This window comes from Homo sapiens, chromosome 1 (genome assembly GCF_000001405.40).
Source record: "Homo sapiens chromosome 1, GRCh38.p14 Primary Assembly".
Classification (NCBI taxonomy): Eukaryota; Metazoa; Chordata; class Mammalia; order Primates; family Hominidae; genus Homo; species Homo sapiens.
Window position 1 is genome coordinate 1,570,444 of NC_000001.11, and position 22,204 is coordinate 1,592,647.

General features: G+C 51.6%; 1 protein-coding gene and 1 long non-coding RNA gene across 2 annotated transcripts in view, besides 7 other annotated features; one reads left to right on the forward strand and one right to left on the reverse strand.

Annotated features, from left to right (window-relative positions):
• Nucleotides 1–4,420, reverse strand: part of SSU72 (SSU72 homolog, RNA polymerase II CTD phosphatase) — a 33,191-nt gene extending 28,771 nt beyond the window's left edge. Inside the window, exon 1 of the mRNA NM_014188.3 lies at nucleotides 4,035–4,420. Within this exon, the coding sequence (NP_054907.1) occupies nucleotides 4,035–4,114 (80 nt within the window). The 5' untranslated portion in view covers nucleotides 4,115–4,420. The remainder of the gene's footprint in view (nucleotides 1–4,034) is intronic.
• Nucleotides 42–543: an enhancer, noted in NCBI's record as "H3K4me1 hESC enhancer chr1:1505865-1506366 (GRCh37/hg19 assembly coordinates)". NCBI's record gives its function as "activates a minimal SCP1, AML or CMV promoter by ChIP-STARR-seq in primed H9 embryonic stem cells {active_cell/tissue: H9 hESC(primed)}" and the evidence as "EXISTENCE:reporter gene assay evidence [ECO:0000049][PMID:30033119]".
• Nucleotides 3,904–3,983: a silencer, noted in NCBI's record as "silent region_78". NCBI's record gives its function as "represses an Ori minimal core promoter by ATAC-STARR-seq in GM12878 lymphoblastoid cells {active_cell/tissue: GM12878}" and the evidence as "EXISTENCE:reporter gene assay evidence [ECO:0000049][PMID:35858748]".
• Nucleotides 4,224–4,383: a silencer, noted in NCBI's record as "silent region_79". NCBI's record gives its function as "represses an Ori minimal core promoter by ATAC-STARR-seq in GM12878 lymphoblastoid cells {active_cell/tissue: GM12878}" and the evidence as "EXISTENCE:reporter gene assay evidence [ECO:0000049][PMID:35858748]".
• Nucleotides 4,504–4,613: an enhancer, noted in NCBI's record as "active region_24". NCBI's record gives its function as "activates an Ori minimal core promoter by ATAC-STARR-seq in GM12878 lymphoblastoid cells {active_cell/tissue: GM12878}" and the evidence as "EXISTENCE:reporter gene assay evidence [ECO:0000049][PMID:35858748]".
• SSU72-AS1 (SSU72 antisense RNA 1) lies at nucleotides 4,504–6,628 on the forward strand. Its single transcript, NR_197593.1, has one exon. It is a non-coding gene; the product is annotated as an SSU72 antisense RNA 1 (long non-coding RNA).
• Nucleotides 4,624–4,693: an enhancer, noted in NCBI's record as "active region_25". NCBI's record gives its function as "activates an Ori minimal core promoter by ATAC-STARR-seq in GM12878 lymphoblastoid cells {active_cell/tissue: GM12878}" and the evidence as "EXISTENCE:reporter gene assay evidence [ECO:0000049][PMID:35858748]".
• Nucleotides 6,043–6,212: a silencer, noted in NCBI's record as "fragment chr1:1511866-1512035 (GRCh37/hg19 assembly coordinates)". NCBI's record gives its function as "represses an EF-1alpha promoter that drives an FKBP-Casp9 reporter gene in an ReSE screen in phorbol 12-myristate 13-acetate-treated (for megakaryocytic differentiation) K562 erythroleukemia cells {active_cell/tissue: K562(+PMA)}" and the evidence as "EXISTENCE:reporter gene assay evidence [ECO:0000049][PMID:32094911]".
• Nucleotides 6,611–7,153: an enhancer, noted in NCBI's record as "H3K27ac-H3K4me1 hESC enhancer chr1:1512434-1512976 (GRCh37/hg19 assembly coordinates)". NCBI's record gives its function as "activates a minimal SCP1, AML or CMV promoter by ChIP-STARR-seq in naive H9 embryonic stem cells {active_cell/tissue: H9 hESC(naive)}" and the evidence as "EXISTENCE:reporter gene assay evidence [ECO:0000049][PMID:30033119]".

Sequence of the window (22,204 nt, forward strand, 5' to 3'; positions counted from 1 at the left end):
TACCCCCGAGACCCCAGTCATGACATGGAGGAAGAGCCACATGCAAGATGGACACAAGCCACAAGCTGTGCTGTGAACCTGGGCACTCAGCGCCAATGCCACCAGTCTGTGAGTCTCTGCAGGGACCCCCCCCACCCCAAAATCGGACTGCCAAATTCTCCCGTTTGACTGGGGTATTATAGAAAATTATTTGTATGAATAATGAAAATAAGCCATCTCGTGGCAAAAAAAGGAAACTAATGATGTGAATACTAACTATGGAGCAGACAACAGAACAAGAGCTTATCCCCGATGCATGCGTGAACACATGGAGACAGACGGACACCAAAATGGTACCTCTGAGAGACCACTTTCATTTTCTACAGTAAGAATTTCTGCAACAAGCAGGCTGGGCGTGGTGGCTCACGCCTGTAATCCCAGCACTTTGGGAGGCCAAGGCGGGCAGATCACGAGGTCAGGAGATCGAGACCACCCTGGCCAACACAGTCAAACCCCATCTCTACTAAAAATACAAAAAATTTGGCCGGGCGCGGTGGCTCACGCCTGTAATCCCAGCACTTTGGGAGGCCGAGGCGGGCGGATCACGAGGTCAGGAGATCGAGGCCATCTGGCCAACACGGTGAAACCCTGACTCTACTAAAAGCACCAAAAATTAGCCGGGCGTGGTAGCGGGTGCCTGTAGTCCCAGTTACTCAGGAGGCTGAGGCAGGAGAATGGCATGAACCCGGGAGGCGGAGGTTGCAGTGAGCTGAAATCGCGCCACTGCACTCCAGCCTGGGCGACAGAGTGAGACTCCATCTCAAAAAAAAAAAAAAAAAAAAAAAAAAAAAAAAAAAAAAGTTAGCTGGGAGTGGTGGCAGGCGCCTGTAGTCCCAGCTACTCGGAGGGTTTGAAGGAGAATCGCTTCAACCTGGGATGCAGAGGTTGCAGTGAGCCAAGATCGTGTCATTGCACTCCAGCCTGGGCGACAGAGGGAGACTCCGACTTCAACAAAAAAAAAAAAAAAGGAAATTGAAGGTCTATGTCTAAATTAACTTCATGATATCCATATTCATGATATCCATAATAGATGTCACCTTAAATTTACTTCCTTTTGACTCTCTTCTGAGTCTACTCTTTTATGAGTAAATTTGAATGATGGCGGCACAGGTAAAAGCACACCCAAGAATTCATTATTCAGAGGTGCTCTCCGCTCCTTTTCCAGAGACCACAGCTCTGCCAGCAACGGCCACTGGCCACTCTGAACTAAAAAGGACTTGGTCATCTTCAGTCATCGTCTCAGCGAGGTTATGACTGGCATGTCTTTAAAGTAGCCGCTAAACCTGATTTTATTAACAAGATAGCTAAATAATTTTTTTTTTTGAGACAGAGTCTCGCTCTGTCACCCAGGCTGGAGTGCAGTGGCCGGATCTCAGCTCACTGCAAGCTCTGCTTCCTGCTTCCCGGGTTCACGCCATTCTCCTGCCTCAGCCTCCTGAGCAGCTGGGACTACAGGCGCCCGTCACTATGCCGGGGTCATTTTTTTGTATTTTTTGTAGAGACGGGGTTTCACCATGTTAGCCAAGATGGTCTCGATCTCCTGACCTCGTGATCCACCTGCCTCGGCCTCCCAAAGTGCTGGGATTACAGGCGTGAGCCACCGCGCCCAGCCCTAAATAGAATTTTTAAAACATTTCCTTTTGTTAAGATTTCTACTCCATCTTGCCAGGCGCAGTAGCTCACGCCTATAATCCCAGCACTTTGGGAGGCCCACGCAGGCGGATCACGAGGTCAGGAGATCGAGACCATCCTGGCTAACATGGTGAAACCCCGTCTCTACTAAAAATACAAAAAAATTAGCCGGGCGTGGTGGCGGGCGCCTGTAGTCCCAGCTACTCAGGAGGCTGAGGCAGGAGAATAGTGTGAACCCAGGAGGCGGAGCTTGCAGTGAGCTGAGATAGCACCACTGCACTCCAGCCTGGGCTACAGACTCCCCCTCAAGAAAAAAAATATATATTCTACTCCAACTTTATTTTATTTATGTATTTATTTGAGATGGAGTCTTGCTCTGTCGCCCAGGCTGGAGTGCAGTGGCATGATCTCGGCTCAATGCAAGCTCCGCCTCCTGGGTTCATGCCATTCTCCTGCCTCAGCCTCCCGAGTAACTGGGACTGCAGGCGCCCGCCACCACGCCCGGCTAATTTTTTTGTATTTTCAGTAGAGACGGGGTTTCATCGTGTTAGCCAGGATAGTCTCAATCTCCTGACTTTGTGATCCGCCCATCTCGGCCTCCCAAGGTGCTAGGATTACAGGTGTGAGCCACTGCGCCCGGCCTACTCCATCTTTGTTATGCAGGTACAGCAGAAAATCTTGAACAAAGGATCACCAAGGAGAACCAGCAGAACCAGAAGGTCTCCAGCCCATTTGTTATTCCAATTAACAATAATTTTGTCTTGGGGGGGGGGGGGTGAGCCTTGCATTGTTTTGCTTAAATGTATCAAATTTTTACAGGTAACTGCAGTTTATAAATGAAGATCCAGCACAATGTAATTCTAGCACATTTCTAGTTTTAAAAACAACCTTTGGCCGGATGCGGTGGCTGACGCCTGTAATCCCAGCACTTTGGGAGGCCGAGGCGGGCAGATCACCTGAGGTCAGGAGTTTGAGATTAGCCTGGCCAGCATGGTGAAGCTCCGTCTCTACTAAAAATACAAAAAAAGCCGGGCGCAGTGGCTCACGCCTGTAATCCCAGCACTTTGGGAGGCCGAGCGGGCAGATCACGAGGTCATAAGATCAAGACCATCCTGGCTAAGATGATGAAACTCCGTCTCTACTAAAAATACAAAAAAAAAAAAAAATTAGCCGTGCCTGGTGGCCGGTGCCTGTAGTCCCAGCTACTCGGGAGGCTGAGGCAGGAGAATAGCTCGATCTCGGGAGGCACAAGTTGCAGTGAGCCGAGATCGCGCTACTGCACTCCAGTTTGGGCGACAGAGCAAGACTCTGTCTCAAAAAAAAAAAAAAAAAAAAAAAAAAAGAAAGAAAAGAATAAAGAGAAAGAATCAGCAGATCATGAACACTTGACACTGATTTTTGGGGGGTGTTTTTTGGTCTCCAACTCCTGACTTCAGGTGATCCGCGTGCGTCGGCCTCCCAAAGTGCGGGGACTACACGCGTGAGCCACCGTGCCTGGCCCACGTGACACTGTTAAAAACGGAAAAAAAAGGGGGACTGTTAATTTTCCCAAGTTGCTCAGGAAAGTTATAGCTGGACTGCGAGAAGAGAAGCGAAACACTGTTTTCATTTAAAGTTCACGTAGGTAACTTTGGAGGTAAAAAAGCCATTTCAACTTTCTTACTATCAAAGTTGACACATACCAAATTTTAACTGTAAGTCAAGTGGTCAGTTTCTCAGTTTGCTATGTGACTGAACAAAAAACTTGTTATCAAGCAGGAATAAACTTTCATTAGACATACGCTACGCAAGAGTCACAGGCGGCCAGTTAGCAGGGAATATAAACTAGCAGAGCCAAACCAAGTCCACGTTGTATTCCAGAAACTACCGGTTGGAGGCGTTCCAGGGAGGAAGAGAGGATCTTTCGCAAAAAAAAAAAAAGAAGAAGAAGTAGCAAACACACAAATCCATGGCATTAAAAAAAGAGACCGCTTTGTTATTTACAACATCGTGGTATGCCGTGATTGTGTTGCGCGCCGTTTCCAGGGAAGGTGGCCAACGACGCACACGAAATACCATGATCGGCCGCCGCCGCGCAGCCCCTCGCCGCGGACGCTACCCTCGCCCCCCGGGCCCGGCCTCGGAGAGCTCGAAGGACCACCGGACAGCGGGCGCCTCGTCCCGGAACCTGCCTTCCCTGTGATGCCCACCCGCGTGTGGACTACGCGCGCTGCCGTCCAGCTGCCATCCCAACCAGCCGACCCACGAGCGCGGCCCGGCCCGGCTTCCTCTCAGGGGTCCTGGCGCGGGCCAGGGGGAACCGGGGAGGAGGGAGGGCCGGTCGCCGGAGCAGAGCGCGCGGGGACAGGGTGGAGCCCAACTACCTGAGGATGTTGTGCGCCTCCATGCTCCGGTTCTGGTTGCTCGAGCACACCACCGCCACCCGCAGCGGGGACGACGGCATGGCGGCGGCCGCAAATCCCGCGGCTCTCCCGCTTGGGTTCCCACCCTACCGCGGCGCTTCCGCGCGAACAAAATGGCGGCCGCGGTGGCCGGAAGCGGGCGACGCGAAACGACGGCGCCGGCGGTGTAGCGTGCGGCGACTGCGCGGCGGCCTCCCCGCCCACCCTGGGCGCCGGGCCGCGGACGGAGCGCAGGCACTGGCCTTCGGGCGCGCTGCACTCGGCGAGGCCGGGGGCGGCCAACGCCGCGCCGGCCCCCGGCGTCCGCAGCAGAGACCCGCACTCCACAAGGCCCGGCTGAGCGTCACGGCGCCAAGCGGCGGCGTCCTGACATCAGCACCCCGCGCCGGCGCCTAGTGTGACGCGACGACGTGCGGAACAACAGGACGTCATAAGGTGTCGCCGCCGCCTTTGGGAGCGATGCGAAACGCCGCGCTTGCCGGAGATAGCATTGAGGGCCCTTCCGCGGCCCGGCGTTTCGTCTCTTGGGACGATTTTGTGCGTTCCCTCGGTCCCCGTGGGGCCCATAGTCCTCACTTCTGCCACCCCAGAGTCGTCGCGCTTCACTAGACCCGCTCCCTCCACTGTCCCGGAGGCCCACAGACATTCCCGCATTCTGAGGCTCGCTCCCGTCCCGTGCCGCTGTTACCGGCCTCCGGCCCCGGCTCATACAAGCAGGAGCACATCGCTCTTTTATGAAAGCCCTTCAACATTTAACGTTTAAATGCGAGGGCCGACCTGTGACAGACCTGGTTGGGAGTGCACGTCGACTAGGATCTTCCTCGCCTCGGGCTTCCTTGGAGAGGCCGCCGGCTGGTCTGAGATTTGGGTCCAGTTACAGTAAATCCAGTCAACGCGAGTGTGTCATTCCCCAGCTATGCCTGTCTGCCTGGATGCAGCCTCGCGGTGGACAGTGGGCTGATGTTTTGCCGTGGGAGCGCCACGGACGGGAGAGGGAGTGATAATGATTGTCAACCTAATAACAGGCTAACTGAAAATGATATTTATTTGGGAATAGGGCGTTGGCGAATATGCGTGCCATAGTAAACGATTTGCGCATTCAGGAAAGTAATGGTTTTTAAAGAAAAAATGAAGAGGAAGATAATGGTTTGGAAATAATTAACCTTGGCTACAAAGAACAGTAACAAGTGTACTCCCGGCCGGGCGCGGTGGCTCACGCCTGTAATCCCAGCACTTTGGGAGGCCGAGGCGGGCGGATCACGAGGTCGGGAGATCCAGACCGTCCTGCCTAACCCGGTGAAACCCCGTCTCTACTAAAAATACAAAAAATTAGCCGGGCGTGGTGGCGGGCGCCTGTAGTCCCAGCTACTCGGGAGGCTGAGGCAGGAGAATGGCGTGAACCCGGGAGGCGGAGCTTGTAGTGAGCCGAGATCGCGCCACTGCCCTCCAGCCTGGGCGACAGAGCCAGACTCCGTCTAAAAAAAAAAAAAAACAAGTGTACTCCCGTTCCAGGGTTGGACAGGCAGTTGCTGGGCAGCTGTCCTTGCTGAAGTATTTTTTGTGTAAGATTGCCTTAGTGCAAGGTTGTGGTTTTTGCAGAATCTTGTGATAGTTTTTCTTATTATTGATTCATGAGAATTCTCCATGGCCTTTCCCAGCTGTCTTTGTCAAGGTATTTTTTAAACATAAGTGAGTCCACTTTTATTTGACAACTTGGGTATTTTCCCCTTTTGATTGAGATCTTTCTCCAAATGCATCACTAATGAGTCATCCTGTAATTAGGTTTTGATAGTCCCCGTGCTGGGATGAACTTGTCCCAGATAGCTGGTCTGGTCCCACACTGGAGAGAGTGGCTGCTGGGAGTCATTGTCAAAACCCTTTTTTACCATATTTGAGCATCAAAGGAGGTTTGAAGGGTGTGGCTCTCAGGCTAAGTCTAACCTGGAGTCCATTATTAACTTCAACTTTTGTCACTTCTGTAGTCTTTCTATCATCTCAAAGTGCTGTGTCAGCATTATTCTGTTAGAAATTGTACTTGTAGCCGGGCGCGGTGGCTCACGTCCGTAATCCCAGCACTTTGGGAGGCCGAGGCGGGTGGAACACGAGGTCAAGAGATCGAGACCATCCTGGCCGACATGGTGAAACCCTGTCTCCACTACAAATACAAAAGTTAGCCGGATGTAGTGGTGCGCACTTGTAGTCCCAGCTACTCAGGAGGCTGAGGCAGGAGAATCACCTAAACCCAGGAGGCGGAGGTTGCTATGAGCTGAGATTGTGCCTATGCAGTTCACCCTGGCAACAGAGTGAGATTCCATCTCAAAAAAATAAAAAAAAAGAAATTGTCCTTTTGCAAAATATGGCAATGAATAAGTTTAAAAGGGGAAAATACAAGGTAAAATCAATAATAATATGACTATCCCAGTTTGCATATTGGTTTTGACCCATGAACCTAGGCTTAAAGGAAAGCAATTAAAAAGAAAAAAATTAGAAAACAAAAATAGAAAAATAGAGATTAAAGGAAGCCAATTGAATAAATAAAATGGCCATAGAAATTACACGAGACTTGTAACCATGTGCCTGTTTTCTTTCTGTGTGTAAATGGATCTCAGTGTTCCAGAGGAATTTACCCACATACAGCATATAGTATTGACATACTTATTTAATACCTTATTTAACCAATAGGTACTAAAGATCTCTTAGGTCAGGTTTTTGTGAAGTTACCAGCAGAAGCTATTGATTGTGAAATGTCAGTTATACCATTGATGGCAGTGGCAGCCTCTCTTGAGTGGCTGCTGGGAAGATGCTGGCTACAGCAGGGGAGGCTCAGCTGGGACTCTGTGCTCCACTGAGCATGTGGGAGCCCTGCCCCCTTCCAAGTTGGCAGGACAGGAGCCCCACCCTCCTGGGAGCAGCTGCATCTGCCCAGCCACGGCTGTGGACCCAGGTATCCCTGCAATCCCAGGGCTGGGAAGCCACCCCACCTGCCCCCGAAAGCTCAGAAGTGCCTCCAGCTGCTACCTGGCCTCTCCTGACTCCCGACAAAGCTGAAGCCAAGCCCAGGCGCTGTTGCAACCCAGCCAGGTGTGCACACACTGAGGGCAGTGCTAGCATGCCAGCCCCTTGCTGCCTCGGCCCGCTCTGGACTTTGAGTGCTCACAAGCATGGGAGCAAGGCCAAGGAGGGGCTGAGGGCGGCTCAGCCCAGTCCTGTAGGCGACCCTTGACCTGAACAGCCTGGGTCCTGTAGATGACATGATTGATGGCAGTAGGAGGCACACAGGCTCCTGGGTGGAAAGGGGTGGGTGTCCAGTGAAGACCCCCATTAAAGCTAGGGACTTCCTGAAACATGGGGGCTGGGCTGCCAGTTCTGGGTGGAGTCTGCCGTCCAGAATGAGATTTATGGTGCTTTTTCTGGGCCCGTCCATGGCTGCCCATGGGCCAATCAGTATACACTTTCTCCCTTCTGAAGCCCATAAAAATCCCACTCAGCTATACTCACAGAGATGTCAGGACTACCAGCTGTGGGAAGGATCTACCCACTTGGGATCCCCTCAATTTGTGGGGATCACCTGCCTGTGGGAAGGAGCTACTTACTCCGGGTCTCCTCTCCGCTGAGAACTAGGCACTCGGGACGACCTGCCTGCGGAAGGAGCTACTCACTTCGGGTCCCCTGAGAGCTGTTCTGTCGCTCAGTGAAGCTCCTCTCTTTCTTGCTCACCCTCTGGTTGTCCACGTACCTCATTCTTCCTGGACGCAGGATGAGAACATGGGACCTGCTGAATAGCAGGACTGAAAGAGCTGTAATACAAACAGGGCTGAAACACGTCTCCTGCTTGCCACATTGGGGGCAACAAGGAGAGAAGAGAGCTGTGGCCCTTCGGGGAGCCCAGACTCGGGGACTCCCTGAGCCAGGGCCATGACACCCTCTTTGGAGACTCCCTGAGCCAGGGCTCTGACACCCTTTTTGGGGGCTCCCTGAGCCGGGGCCGTGACACCCTCTTTGGGGACTCCCTGAGCCGGGGCCGTGACACCCTCTCGGGGACTCCCTGAGCTGGGGCCATGACACCCTCTTGGGGACTCTGCAGCTCCTTGTATCTCCAAGATTCTGGGAGCCACCATGTTCCCCAGTGCCTGCAGTGGAAGCCACTTCTGGTGCACCTGGTCCAGCTACAGACTTGCACAGAGCTGGCACCTGTGCCAGTCCCTGGAGCTGCCTGCCCCACTGCAGCTGGCACACCTGGCTGTGCACAGTGACTGGACCCCGCGCTTGTTCACACACACCCCTGCCGCTCCTCACCTGGAAGGTGTGGGATCTGAGCCAGTAGCATCAGCTGAGTGCAGCCTATCAGGCTGAGTGGGTGGAATGGGCCCAGTGGGCCCGAGCAAAACTCAGGCAAAGGCGCCCCAGACACAGAGGTTTCCGGCTGGGAAAGTTACACCCTAAGGATCCTGTGACAGCATTATCCTGCCCAGTGAAAAAAGCAGAATCAGAGGGGAGTAAGAGTCTCATTATAATTGCAGTCTTGTTCCGAAGTCTTGGGAAAAGCTGTCTGTAGCATGAAAACATCAGCTTCTCCGGGTTTGAAGTTTGGGTGTTTCTGGTTAGGGCATCAGGCAGTTTGGTGAACACTGTGTGTGACCCATGCATCAGGCATGAGACTTGTCCCTTAAAATGTGTCTAGTTTGGTCTGGCACATTGGCTCATGCTTGTAATCCCAACACTTTGGGAGGCCAATGTGAGAGAATCTCTGTTTTTTTTGAGACAGAATCTCGCTCTGTCGCCCAGCTGGAGTGCAATAGCGCAATCTCGGCTCATTGCAAGCTCCGCCTCCCAGGTTCACGCAATTCTCCTGCCTCAGCCTTCCGAGTAGCTGGGACTACAGGCGCCCGGCTAATTTTTTTTTTTTTTTTGTATTATTAGTAGAGACGGGGTTTCACCGGGTTAGCCAGGATAGTCTTGATCTCCTGACCTCGTGATCCGCCCGCCTCCGCCTCCCAAAGTGCTGGGATTACAGGTGTGAGCCACTACACCCGGCCGAGAGAATCTCTTGAGACCAGGAATTTGAGAGCAAACTGGTCAATATAGCTAGATCCCTCTCTATTTAAAAAAATTACATATATACACACACACACATATATAACACATATATACATACATTATACATATACACGTGTGTATGTGTGTAAATTAATTTTTTTTTTAGATGGAATCTCTCTGTGTCACCAGGCTGGAGTGCAGTGGTGTGATCTCGGCTCACTGCAACCTCCACCTCCCAGGTTCAAGCGATTCTCCTGCCTCAGCCTCTCGAGTGGCTGGAATTACAGGCACACACCACCACGCCTGGCTAATTTTTGTATTTTTAGTAGAGACGGGGTTTCACCATGTTGGCCAGGATGGGCTCGATCTCTTGACTTCTTGATCCACCCACCTCAGCCTCCCACAGTGCTGGGATTACAGACGTGAGCCACCATGCCTGGCCATGAGTTTATTAAAAGGGATATTAATTTTTTTTTTTTTTGAGATGGAGTCTTGCTCTGTCACCCAGGCTGGAGCACAGTGGTGCGATCTCAGCTCACTGCAACCTCTGCCTCCCAGGTTCAAGCAATTCTCCTGCCTTGTCCTCTCAAGTAGCTGGGATTACAGGCACCCACGACCACGCCTGGCTAATTTTTGTATTTTTAGTAGAGACAAGGTTTCACCATCTTGGTCAGGCTGGTTTCAAACTCCTGACGTCAGGTGATCCACCCGCCTTGGACTCCCAAAGCTGTGAGCCACCACACCCGGCCTGTTAAATTTTTTTTGAGACAGGGTTTTGCTCTGTTGCCCTGTGGGGAAAAGCAAGAGAGATCAGATTGTTACTGTGTCTGTGTAGAAAGAAGTAGACATAGGAGACTCCATTCTGTTCTGTACTAAGACAAATTCTTCTGCCTTGAGATGCTGTTAATCTATGACCTTACCCCCAACCCCGTGCTCTCTGAAACATGTGCTGTGTCAACTCAGAGTTGAATGGATTAAGGGCGGTGCAAGATGTGCTTTGTTAAACAGATGCTTGAAGGCAGCACGCTCCTTAAGAGTCATCACCACTCCCTAATCTCAAGTACCCAGGGACACAAACACTGAGGAAGGCCGCAGGGACCTCTGCCTAGGAAAGCCAGGTATTGTCCAAGGTTTCTCCCCATGTGATAGTCTGAAATATGGCCTCATGGGAAGGGAAAGACCTGACCGTCCCCCAGCCCGACACCCGTAAAGGGTCTGTGCTGAGGAGGATTAGTAAAAGAGGAAGGCATGCCTCTTGCAGTTGAGACAAGAGGAAGGCATCTGTCTCCTGCCCGTCCCTGGGCAATGGAATGTCTCAGTATAAAACCCGATTGTACGTTCCATCTACTGAGATAGGGAAAAACCGCCTTAGGGCTGGAGGTGGGACATGCGGGCAGCAATACTGCTTTGTAAAGCATTGAGATGTTTATGTGGATGCATATCTAAAAGCACAGCACTTGATTCTTTACCTTGTCTACGATGCAAAGACCTTTGTTCACATGTTTGTCTGCTGACCCTCTCCCCACTATTGTCTTGTGACCCTGACACATCCCCCTCTTGGAGAAGCACCCACGAATGATCAATAAATACTAAGGGAACTCAGAGGCTGGTAGGATCCTCCATATGCTGAACACTGGTTCCCTGGGTTCCACCTAACGAGAAACACCCACAGGTGTGGAGGGGCAACCCACCCCTTCATTGCCCAAGCTTGAGTACAGTGGTGGGATCATGGCTTACTGCAGCCTCAAACTCCCAAGCTCAAGTGATCCACTCACCTCATCCTCTCCAGTAGCTGGGAATACAGCCGTGCAGCATTCTACCTGGCTAGTTTTTTATTTTCATTAGAGACAAGGTCTTGCTGTGTTTCCAGGGCTCATCTTGAACTCCTGGGCTCAAGTGATCCTCCCACCTCAGCCTCCCAAGGTGTTGGGATTACAGGTGTGAGCCACCATGCCTAGCCTAAATAAGAATTTTAAATGCACCTATATGTTGTAAATAACTCAGAAGATACAGCTTTTTCATTAAGCCAACAATATCAAATTAGTTTTACTCATCAAATAATTACACACAAAAGAGATCATTCTAAGACCAGTCATGGTGGATCACACCTGTAATCCCAGCACTTTGGGAGGCCAAGGCAGGCAGATCACCTAAAGTCAGGAGTTCAAGACCAGCCTGGCCAACATGGCAAAACCCCGTCTCTACTAAAAATACAAAAATTAGCTGGGCGTGGAGGCGGGCATCTGTAATCCCAGCCACTTGGGAGGCTGAGGTGGGAGAATCACTTGAACCCAGGAAACAGAGGTTGCAGTAAGCTAAGATCAAGCCACTGCACTCCAGCCTGGGCGACAGGTGAGACTCTTAATGAGTAAACCCAGGCAAAAATGTATGCTGCCAATTTTTATGACATTTCTATTTTTATTTTACAGCAAATTTAAAACCAGCTTATTTATTAAAGATTTACAGCCTGGGGGCCGGGCGTGGTGGCTCACACCTATAATCCCAGCACTTTGGGAGGCCGAGGCGACCGGATCACGATCAGGAGACCATCCTGGCTAACACAGTGAAACCCTATGGCTACTAAAAACACAAAAATTAGCCGGGTGTAGTGGTGGCACATGCCTGTGATCCCAGCTACTCAGGAGGCTGAAAATCACTTGAACCTGGGAGTCGGAGGTTGCAGTGAGCCAAGATCGCGCCACTGTACTCCAGCCTGGGTGACAGAGCGGGACTTCATCTCAAAACAACAACAACAAAAAACAGACAATTGGATCCCAATTATATGATAGTATTTCTGACAAAATGGGACATGTTCACATGGCTAAACTTTATTTGCCCAAATAGGTGATCTAATGAAGGATACAGACCAAAATTTGGGGGATCGCAGTTTGTATAGGAGGTTTATTATTTTAAAAAACCTCATTTTACCATTTTTCCCATTTCAAATGATTTGGGGTTATGTATTCACATGTTTCTCCACCTCTCCCTTTCCCCCAGGACTCTTGGCTTTCAGAAGCCCCTCTGGAACATCCCACCCAGTAAAACCCCATCCCACCAGTGCAGAAAACATGGTGCCCCTATTATAGTGGATCCAGCCTTGAAGAGGCCTCACCCTGCCTCAACACCTCTTCCCCAAGACCCTGACGGCCAGGACAGTGTCTTTTTGCCTTCAGACTAGGCAGAGTGAGGTCCCCTGAGAGAGATAAATATTGTTATTTCCCCACCCAAAGTTATTTGCATTAGGTGAAAAATGGCCACACATTCTTTGTGGTTCCTCTCATCAAGACATACGGTCTCTTTCTCATCCCTTGAATCCGGGCAAAGCCTTGTGATTTGCTCTGATCAAAAGAACTTAGTAGAACTGACGTTGTCCCAGCCCCAGTTCCAGGCCCAGAACCCAAGAAATCTTGCAGCTTCTACTCTCACTCTCCTGGAGCCCTAAGGCTGAAGCAGCCTGCTAGACAGGCCACCCCAACCAACAACCTGTCACCTGCCAGACAAGTGAGTCAGGCTGTCCTAGACCATCCAGGTGTAGCGGATGTGACAAATGACCACAGCTCCATGAGGGTCCGCAGGTGAGCCCAGTGCAGATTGCCAACCCACAGAATTGTGGACAAATACGTGACCTGTTTTTGCTGCCAAATTTTGGGATGGTCTGTTACACAGTGAAGGCTAGCTGATACGCAGTTCCTCATTTCTCCTCTGGTGATGAGATCCACTTTCATTTCAGGAGGCAGTGTGCCAGTCTCAGTAGATGGAACACAATCCACAATCGGTCTATTCAACCATGACAATTTTATTCCCTACTGTTGGGGAAGTGTCTCGAGTCAGACCCTCCCCACCAAGTGCAAAGAGAACGCATCTCAGCTATCCCTTCTGCCAGCCCAGCCTACGGGGGCCAGATGTATCTTCTGGGCTCTTAGAAGTGTCAGTCGGTGCCATGGGGACTGCTCCTACAAGTCTGGCGTGGATGCCCCCAGGTACACCCTGAGGTCCGAGAGGGTGGACTGCACAAGCTTGTCCAGGATGGCCCTTGCTGCAGCTACCGGTAGGCTGCGTGCCAATAACAGCCGCCAAAGGAGTAGAAGTAATCACCAACCTGGGTCCCTTTGATCCAGGACATCCGTGGGGCACACTGTCTGGGTCTTCCTAGGTCATGTCCACGAGGTTCTGCGTCTCGGCTGGGCCCAGCACAGATGGTGGCAGCTACGTGAGCAGCTCAGTGGCACGCCGTGCACCTGGGAATGCAGCCCGACTGGGCACTCCCGCCCTGCACACCGTTGCAGGGCCTGGGACCCGGGGCTGCCCCAGCCCACATCCACCCTGCCCGATCGATGCTCCTCCTGCACACAGCCCCGTTACCACTGCCACTGCCCCAAAGCATAAAAATTTTTTTTTTTTTTTTGAGATGGAGTTTTGCTCTTGTTGCCCAGGCTGGAGTGCAATGGCATGATCTCAGCTCACCACAACCTCTGTCTCCCGGGTTCAAGCAATTCTTCTGCTTCAGCCTCCCGAGTAGCTGGGATTACAGGCATGCGCCATTAATTTTGTATTTTTAGTAGAGATGGGGTTTCTCCATGTTGGTCAGGCTGGTCTCAGACTCCAGACCTCAGATGATCCGCCCGCCTCGGCCTCCCAAAGTGCTGGGATTACAGGCGTGAGCCACCGCGCCCGCCAATTAATTTTTTTTTTTTTTTTTTGAGACGGAGTCTCGCTGTGGCCCAGGCTGGAGTGCAGTGGCGCAATCTCAGCTTACTGCAAGCTCCATCTCCCAGGTTCACACCATTCTCCTGCCTCAGCCTCCCGAGTAACTGGGACTACAGGCACCCACCACCACACCCGGCTAATTTTTTGTATTTTTAGTAGAGACGGGATTTCACCGATTAGCCAGGATGGTCTCAGTCTCCTGACCTTGTGATCCACCCACCTCAGCCTCCCAAAGTGCCAGGATTACAGGCGTGAGCCACCGTGCCCGGCCAGTTTTGGGGTTTTTTTGTTTTTGTTTTTGTTTTTGAGACAGCGCCTTGCTGTGTCGACCAGGCTGGAGTGCAGTGGCATGATCTTGGCTCAGTGCAACCTCTGCGTCCCGGGTTCAAGCAATTTTCTTGCCTCAGCCTCCTGAGTAGTTGCAATTACAGGCGTGTGCCACCACGCCTGGCTAATTTTTTGTATTTTTAGTAGAGACGGGGTTTCACCATGTTGGCCAGGCTGGTCTCGAACTCCTGACCTCGTGATCCTCCCACTTTAGCCTCCCAAAGTGTTGGGATTACAGGCGTGAGCCACCGTGCCTGGCCACCCATCAGTTTTAAAATGTGCCTGAGTTAGAGCAGAACAGAAGCTGAGAAAAATTAAAAAGAAAGATAAATAAGTACAGTTTGCCCAAGTTGGGCCATAATATAGCCTGCTGGAGAACCAAAAAATCTGCTGTGACTTAATGTTTGAGAATCCCATTTCATTTCTTCTTATTTTCTGAAGAGCAAAGAAGCTTCCATAGATCCTATCAGGAATTGTCAAGCACATGGACCACTGTTTCAGATGGTGGCGACAGACCCAGTAACTTTCGTTGTTGTTTTGTTTTCTTTTGAAACAGAATCTCACTCTGCAGTCCAGGCTGGAGTGCAGCGGTGCAATCTTGGCTCACTGCAACCTCTGCCTTGTGAGTTCAAGCGATTCTCCTGCCTCAGCCTCTAGACTAGCTGGGATTACAGGTGCATGCCACCATGTCCAGCTAACTTTTTTTGTTTGTTTATTTGTTTGTTTGTTTGTTTTGAGACGGAGTCTTGCTCTATTGCCCAGGCTGGAGTGCAGTGGTGCAATCTCGGCTCACTGCAAGCTTCACCTCCCGGGTTCATGCCATTCTTCTGCCTCAGCCTCCCAAGTAGCTGGGACTACAAGTGCCCGCCACCACGCCTGGCTAATTTTTTTTTTGAGATGGAGTCTCGCTGTGTCGCCCAGGCTGGAGTGCAATGGCGCAATCTCAGCTCACTGCAAGCTCTGCCTCCCAGGTTCACGCCATTCTCCTGCCTCAGCCTCCCAAATAGCTGGGACTACAGGCACCCGCCACCACGCCCGGCTAATTTTTTGTATTTTTAGTAGAGACAGGGTTTCACCGTGTTAGCCAGGATGGTCTCGAACTTCTGACCTCGTGATCCACCTGCCTCGGCCTCCCAAAGTGCTGGCATTACAGGTGTGAGATACCGCGCCCAGCCAAGACTCTTTTTTTAAAAACAAACAAGCAAACAAAAATTATCTGGACATAGTAGAACCAGCCTGTGGTCCCAGCTACTGAGGAGGCTGAGGTGGGAGAATCGCTTGAGCCTGGGATGTTGAGGCTTCAGTGAGCCAACACTGTGCCACTCCACTCCAGCCTGGGCAACACAGAGAGACCATGTCTTAAATAATAATAATAATAATAATAATAATAAAATGCAATTTTAAAAAGAGGGAAGCACAGCCACAGAAGATTCTCCAAGGCAGAGCATGCGAACCACGGAAGCAGAGAGCCCATAGGGCTCGGCGAGCATGGGGCACTGGCTCCAAGAACCGCCAGTTCCTTCTTAAAGTGACCTTCCTTCAGGTCCTGTTTCAGAGCATCATTTATGTCAAACTAAATAACAGAGAGGGGTTCTCTAGCAGAAAATGATATTTATTCGAAGAGGACAGCCAGAAGAGGAAGAGGGCAGGGAGGCGACCAGGATGACCAGCTGCAGAGAGGAGTACCTTCTCCTCTGTCCTCCGCTGAGAGCTGCCCAGACAACCTGTCAGCAGAGAGGAGCTACCTCTACCCTGTCTGTGGAGAGCCTGAGACCTGCGGAGACATCCAAACGACTTCCTGTGGAGAGGAGCCGCCCTCTCCAGCCTCCTGTCTGCCAAGAGCTCAACACTCACCGGGAGGATGCTGTTCTCACATTAAATAAACTCTTCTTTTTCTTTTTTGGGACGAGGTCTCACTCTGTCACCCAGGCTGGAGTGCAGTGGCGCGATCTTGGCTCACTGCAAGCTCCGCCTCCCGGGTTCATGCCATTCTCCTGCCTCAACCTTCCAAGTAGCTGGGACCTGGGACTACAGGCGCCTGCCACCGCGCCCGGCTAATTTTTTGTATTTTTAGTAGAGACGGGGTTTCACCGTGTTAGCCAGGATGGTCTCGATTTCCTGACCTCGTGATCCGCCCGCCTCAGCCTCCCAAAGTGCTGGGATTACAGGCGTGAGCCACCACGCCCGGCCTTAAATAAACTCTTCTCCACCAAAAGTAAAAAAGTAAAATATTTATTCAGGAATAGGATTGCAATGGGAACGCGTGTGCCACAGTAAAGTATGTGCATATTCAGGGAGGTAGAAGAAGACAAAGGTTTTTTTTGGTTTTTTTGTTTGTTTTGTTTTGTTTTTTTGAGACGAAGGCTCGTTTTGTCGCTCAGGCTGGAGTGCAGTGGTGCGATCTCGGCTCACTGCAACCTCCGTCTCCCGGGTTCAAACAATTCTGCCTCAGCCTCCCGAGTAGCTGGGATTACAGGAGCCTGCCACCACACCCGGCTAATTTTTTGTATTTTAGTAAATACAGCGTTTCACCGTGTTGCCCAGGCTGGTCTCGAACTCTGGAGCTCAGGCAATCCGCCCGTCTCTGCCATCCAAAGTGTTGGGATTACAGGCGTGGGCCACTACGCCCTGCTGGTTTTTTTTTTTTTTTTTTGAGTTGAAGTCTCACAGCTCTGTCACCAGGCTGGAGTGCAGTTGCGCAAGCTTGCTCACTGCAACTGCCCCTTCTTGGTTCAAGCGATTCTCCTGCCTCAGCCTCCTGAGTAGCTGCGACTACAGGCACCGGCCACCACGCCCATCTAATTTTGGGATTTTTTTTTTTGAGACGGAGTCTCGCTCCGTCGCCCAGGCTGGAGTGCAGTGGTGTGATCTCGGCTCACTGCAAGCTCCGCCTCCCGGGTTCACGCCATTCTCCTGCCTCAGCCTCCCGAGTAGCTGGGACTACAGGCGCCCGCCACCACGCCCGGCTAATTTTTTGTATTTTTGGTAAAGATGGGGTTACACTGTGTTAGCCAGGATGGTCTCAGTCTCCTGACCTCGTGATCCGCCCGCCTCGGCCTCCCAAAGTGCTGGGATTACAGGCGTGAGCCACTGCACCAGGCCTAATTTTTGTATTTTTTAGTAGAGACGGGGTTTCACCATATTGGTCAGGCTGTTCTTGAACTCCTGACCTTGTGATCCTGCCCACCTTGGCCTCCCTACGTGCTGGGATTACAGGCGTGGGCCACCGCGCCCAGCCAAAGACAAAGGTTTTTAAAGGAAAGATGAGAAGGATGACTTCATTGTTTTGAAATAATTATCCTTGGCTGCACTTTGGGAGGCCGAGGCGGGCGGATCACGAGGTCAGGAGATCAAGACCATCCCAGCTAACACGGTGAAACCCGTCTCTACTAAAAATACAAAAAATTAGCTGGGTGTGGTGGCGGGGGCCTGTAGTCCCAGCGACTCCGGAGGCTGAGGCAGGAGAATGGCGTGAACCCGGGAGGTGGAGGTTGCAGTGAGCCGAGATTGCGCCACTGCACTCCAGCCTGGGCGACGGAGCGAGACTCCGTCTCAAAAAAAAAAAAAAAAAAGAGGCCACCTCCACATCCTCGGTTTTCCACCCCACCACCACTTAGCTCCAGGAATAATTCCTTTTTTTTTTTTTTTTAACAGAGTCTCTCCATCCTGGCTAACATGGTGAAACCCCGTCTCTACTAAAAATGCAAAAAAAAAATTAGCCTGGCGCGGTGGCAGGCGCCTGTAGTCCCAGCTACTCGGGAGGCTGAGGCAGGAGAATGGTGTGAACCCAGGAGGCAGAGCTTGCAGTGAGCCCAGATCGCGCCACTGCACTCCAGCCTGGGCAACAGAGCGAGACTCTGTCTCAAAAAAAAAGAAAAAAAAAAAGAAAGAATTATCCTTGGCTACAAAGATCAATAACAAGGATGACAACCATCTGAGGGTGGACAGGCAGTCCTGGGCGGATGTCCTCACAGAAGTATTTCTGTGTGTGTGCAAGGTTACAGTGGACTTTGTGCAAGTATGCGGTTTTTGGAATCCTTTGTGATAGTTTTGAGGCATGCAGGCCTGAGACCCCCTTTCATGGCCTTCCTTAGCTCTGTGTGTCACGGTGGCCTCCCGTTTTGCTTCGCTTCCCTTCTTCCCTTCCCTTCCCCCGTTTTTCAACCCCAGAGACTCTACTTTGACTCTGAATCAGAACTAGGTGAGCTGAGAAATGAAGGCATGAAGGATGGCAGCCGCGAAAAAGCACTCTGTGCACCGAGCTGGGGATCCCAGTGGAAGGCAAGAATTATCCCTGGAGCAGGCAGGGCGCCGTGGCTCACGTCTGTAATCCCAGCACTTTAGGAGGCAGAGGCGGGTGGATCACCAGTCAGGAGTTCAAGACCAGCCTGACCAACACGGAGAAACCCCGTCTCTACTAAAAATACAAAATTAGCTGGGTGTGGTAGACGCCTGTAATCCCAGCTACTTGGGAGACTGAGACAGGAGAATGGCGTGAACCCGGGAGCTGGAGGTTGCAGTGAGCCAAGATCACACCACTGCACTCCAGCTTGAGTGACAGAGCGAGACTGTTTTTATTTATTTATTTATTTATTTATTTATTTATTTATTTATTTTTAGACGGAGTCTCGCTTTGTTGCCCAGGCTGGAGTGCAGTGGTGCGATCTGGGCTCACTGCAAGCTCCGCCTCCCAGGTTCACACTATTCTCCTGCCTCAGCCTCCCGAGTAGCTGGGACTACAGGCGCCCGCCACCGCGCCAGGCTAATTTTTTTTTGCATTTTTAGTAGAGACGGGGTTTTACCATGTTAGCCAGGATGGAGAGACTCTGTTAAAAAAAAAAAAAAAGAGAATTATTCCTAGAGCTAAGTGGTGGTGGGGTGGAAAACCGAGGATGTGGAGGTGACCTCTTTTTTTTTTTTTCGAGACAGAGTCTCGCTCTGTCGTCCAGGCTGGAGTGCAGTGGCGCGATCTCGGCTCACTGCAAGCTCCCCCTCCCAGGTTCACCCCATTCTCCTGCCTCAGCCTCCCGAGTAGCTGGGACCACAGGGGCGCGACACCACATCCGGCTAACGTTTTGTATTTTTAGTGGAGACGGGGTTTCACCGTGTTAGCCAGCATGGGCTTGATCTCCTGACCTCATGATCCGCCTGCCTCAGCCTCCCAAAGTGCTGGGATTACAGGAGGTGGCTTTTAATAAAGCTAGGACGGGAAGGACCATGGACCCTGGTGGAAAACAGGCTCCTTCTCAGAAAGAGGTCAAGAAACTCAGACACCAGGGCGCTGGGGACCGTTTCACGGGTGCTGAAGTCGTCTACCATTGCTTTTGTGGTATTTTAGAGAAAAAGGCTGAGAACCAGGTGTTGGAAATCTTTAAGGATGCCTGGGGCTTCCTTGGGTGACAGGGATCGGGGGAGAGTTGATGCCTAAAGGAGGAGGCCGGGCTTTGTGGGGCGCGTGGCCATCTAGGCGATAAATGAGGGCATCGCCCACTCCTGCCCTACGTGTACCTGAGTATTTCACGTGCGGAGCACAGAGTCTAAAGGACCCGCACCACCTACATTAGAAATAAGAAACGTAGGCCGGGCGTGGTGGCTGATGCCTGTCATCCCAGCACTTTGGGAGGTCAAGGCGGGTGAATCACCTGAGGTCAGGAGTTCGAGACCAGCCTGGTCAACATGGTGAAACCGTGTCTCTACTAAAAATACCAAAATTAGCTGGGCGTGGTGGTGGCTGCCTGTAATCCCAGCTACTCGGGAGACTGAGGCAGGAGAATCGCTTGAACCTGGGAGGCGGAGGTTGCAGTGAGCGGAGATCGCGACACTGCACTACAGCCTGGGTGATAGAGAGAGACTCCATCTCAAAAAAAAAAAGAGTTTTGAGAACTGTGCCGTCTGACAAAGTGTGCACCGAACATAAGAGGTTATTTGTTTAAACTTAAGTTTAACGGCCAGGCACGGTGGCTCATGCCTGTAATCCCAGCACTTTGGGAGGCCCAGGCGGGCGGATCACGAGGTCAGGAGATGGAGACCATCCTGGCTAACATGGTCAAACCCCGTCTCTACTAAAAATACAAAAATTAGCCGGGCGTGGTGGTGGGCACCTGTAGTCCCAGCTACTTGGGAGGTCGAGGCAGGAGAATGGCGAGAACCTGCGAGGCGGAGCTTGCAGTGAGCAGAGATCGCACCACTGCACTCCAGCCTGGGCGACAGAGCGAGACTCCATCTCAAAAAAAAAAAAAGTTTAACTAAAATATAAAATGGAGGTCCTCAGTCACAGTAGCTGCAATTAAAGTGTCCCGTGTGGGGGGCCCTAATTAGGGGAAAGGAGTCGGGCTGGAGGGAGCAGGGGAAAGCAAAGACAGAAAGGAGATGGGCTGTAGGTCTGCCTTTCTGTATGGCCCTCCTGAACAAGTAATGCACGTAACTCACAATCTTCCTGCTCACCATCAAACGCCTCAAATTACCAAACACCCTGGCTGACAGGAGAACGCAGGTGAAGCTCCCCGCTGCCTTGGCGTTGGCCATCAACCCAGGAGCCACCCTACAAAACGTCCAGCAAGTCTTTGTCTCCATGCAGTTGGCCTCTCTTGCTGGCTGCCCGTTGCCTCCTTGCAACATGTTTTCCTACTTTCACTAACATATGTGCCTTTCTCTACCTACAACTGTCTTGGTAAATTTTTTTTTTTTTGAGACAGAGTCTCACTTGGTCACCCAGGCTGGAGTGCAATGGCGCGATCTCGGCTCACTGCAACCTCTGCCTCCCGGGTTCAAGTGATTCTCTTGCCTCAGCCTCCAGAGTAGCTGGGACTACAGGCGCACACCACCACGCCCAGCTAATTTTTGTATTTTTAGTAGAGACGGGGTTTCACCATGTTGGCCAGGCTGGTCTCCAACTCCTGACCTCAGGTGATCCGCCCGCCTTGGTCTCCCGAAGTGCTGGGATCACAGGCGTGAGCCACCGCGCCCGGCCGATGGTAAATTCTTTTACCCCCATGCTACTGGCCCAAACAGTTGTCGCTGTCCCAAGACACAGTGTCCACAGTGACTCGTAGCTACTGTGTCCTCCACAGGATATGATGAAGCCCATTAACTACGAATGTGACCTTATTTGGAAATAGGGATCTTTGTAGGCGTAATCAAATGAAATGAGGTCATGTCAAGTTAGTGCAGGCCCTCCTGCTGTCAATGGTGCTGTGCCACAGGGAAACATGCATTGCTCTTCCTCCGTTTCATGACACACAGCTCCTGAAATCCTTGGATTAGCCGGGTGGCAGGTGCCTGTAGTCCCAGCTACTTAGGAGGCTGAGGCAGGAGAATGGCGTGAACCCAGGAGGCGGAGCTTGCAGTGAGCAGAGATCGCGCCACTGCCCTCCAGCCTGGGCGACAGAGCGAGACTCCGTCTCAAAAAAAAACCAGAACTCCTTGGTGTGGGAAACCCCACACTCCTGGGACACAGAAGTGTGGACTGTTGAGTGAGAGAAGAGGAAAACAGCACTTCGTTTTTCCCAATATTACAGGTATCTTTATAAAAGAAAGGAGAGAGATCTGGACACAGTGACGGTGGAGACAGGCAGACAGATCACCCTGTGAGGACGGAGGCAGAGACTGGGCTGATGCGTCTACAACCCAAGGATCACCAAGAGAAGCTGGCCGGGCGCGGCGGCTCACGCCTGTAATCCCAACACTTTGGGAGGCCTAGGCGGGTGGATCACCTGAAGTCAGGAGTTGGAGACCAGCCTGGCCAACATGGTGAAACCCCGTCTCTACTAAAAATACAAAAATTAGCCAGCTGTGGTGGTGCATGCCTGTAATCCTAGCTACTCGGGAGGCTGAGGCAGGAGAATCACATGAACCCAGAAGGTGAAGGTTGCAGTGAGCCAAGATCACGCCATTGCACTCCAGCCTGGGTGACAGAGTGATACTCTGTCCCAAAATAAATAAATAAATAAATAAATACACGAAAATGAAACAAACAGGCCGAATGTGGTGGCTCACACCTGTAATCCCAGCACTTTAGGAGGCCGAGGCGGGCGGATCACCTGAGGTCAGGAGTTCAAGAC